Source organism: Homo sapiens, chromosome 4, assembly GCF_000001405.40.
Source record: "Homo sapiens chromosome 4, GRCh38.p14 Primary Assembly".
NCBI lineage: Eukaryota > Metazoa > Chordata > Mammalia > Primates > Hominidae > Homo > Homo sapiens.
The window spans coordinates 135,314,609-135,316,259 of NC_000004.12; the positions used below are offsets into that span (position 1 = coordinate 135,314,609).

General features: G+C 31.4%; 1 non-coding gene across 1 annotated transcript; it reads right to left on the reverse strand.

Annotated features, from left to right (window-relative positions):
• Positions 1 to 809: 809 nt before the first annotated feature.
• On the reverse strand, positions 810 to 914 carry LOC124900883 (U6 spliceosomal RNA). The gene has a single exon (XR_007058517.1). It is a non-coding gene; the product is annotated as a U6 spliceosomal RNA (small nuclear RNA).
• Positions 915 to 1,651: the final 737 nt, after the last annotated feature.

Here is a 1,651-nt window from a genome sequence, read left to right on the forward strand (position 1 = left end):
TATTTATTTATTTATTTATTTATTTATTTATTTATTGAGACCAGATCTCATTGTGTTGCCCAGGCTGGAGTGCAGTGGTGCAATCACAACTCACTGTAACCTCAAACTTCTGGGCTCAAGTGATCCTCCTGTCTTAGCCTCCTGAGTAGCTAGGACTAAAGATGTATGCCACTATGCCCAGCTAGTTTTTCTTTTAATGGCCTTTTTTTTTTTTTTTTTTTTTTTTGTAGAGATGAGATCTAATTGTGTGGGCCAGGCTTGTCTTGAATTCTTGGCCTCAATTGATCATCTTGCCCCAACCTCCCAGAGTTCTGAGATTACAGGAGTGAGCCACTATGCCTGGCTCAATTATGTTTTAAAGGAAACTTGAAAAGGAGAAGAGGCCATATTTACTCACATATTTACTAATTCTGTTACTCTTCACTTCTATATGAGTGCTTAATTTCCACCTAGGGTCATTTTATTTCATTTTGAAAAAAATTGCTAAGTATTAATTTTAGTGTAGTGTAAGTTATTTAGTAATGAATCTATAAGTGTTTGGTATTTATTTCTTTTCATTTTCTAAAAAACATTTTTTTCTGGCTGTACAATTTTAAATTGAAGAGGTGTACTCCTCTTCCTCAGCACTTTAAAGACATTTTTTTTTTTTGTCTTTTGCCTTAGGTTCTTTCCAAAAAGAATTATTTGGTCATATTCATCTTTCATTTCTAGTATATAATGTGCCTTTTTCCCTGTAATTTCTTTTTAGATTTTTCTCTTTTCCATGTATTTATAGTAATTTGATTAGGATTTAATTTGATTTTTATTCCTGAAATACAGAACAATTCATGAATTTATATCATTCTTGTGTAGGGGCTATGCTAATCTTCTCTGTATCTTTCCAAATTTAGTATACGTGCTACTGAAGCAAGCACTTGATTTAATTTTCTTTTTATATTACCTGAGATTTAGTGGCCATTCTATTTTTTAAATTTAATTTCTCATTTTTAATTTTTATGTGTACATAGTAGGTGTATATATTTATGGGGTACATGTGATGGTTTTATGCAGGAATATAATGTGCAATAACCATATCAGAGAAATTGAGGTATTTACCACCCCAAGCATTTATTATTTCTTCATTACAAGAGCATTCCATTTCTGCTATTTTAGCTATTTAAAAATATATCATAAATTATTTTTGACTGTAGTCAACCTGTTGTGCTATCAAGTACTAGATCTTACTCATTCTAACTATGTTTTTATACCCATCATCAATCCACACTTTTTCCCTCCCTCTCCACTAACCTTTGCACTCTTTGATTGATTTCAATCAATTTGATTGATTTGACTTCATTGATTGATTTGCATATGTTAGATCATTCTTTCCTTCCTGGGATGAATTCTACTTGGTCATGATGAATGATCATTTTAATATGTTGTTGAATTCAATTTGCTAGTGTTTTGTTTAGGAATTTTGCATCAATGTTCATCAGATACTGGCCTGTAGTTTTGTTTTGTTCTTCTTATGTCTTTGTTTGATTTTTGATGTCAGTAATACTGTCCTCCTAAAATGAGTTTTGAAGTATTCCCTAATCTTATACATCTTGCAATAGTTTGAGCAGGATTGGTATCAGTTCTTCCTTAAATGTTTGATAAAATTCAGCAGTGA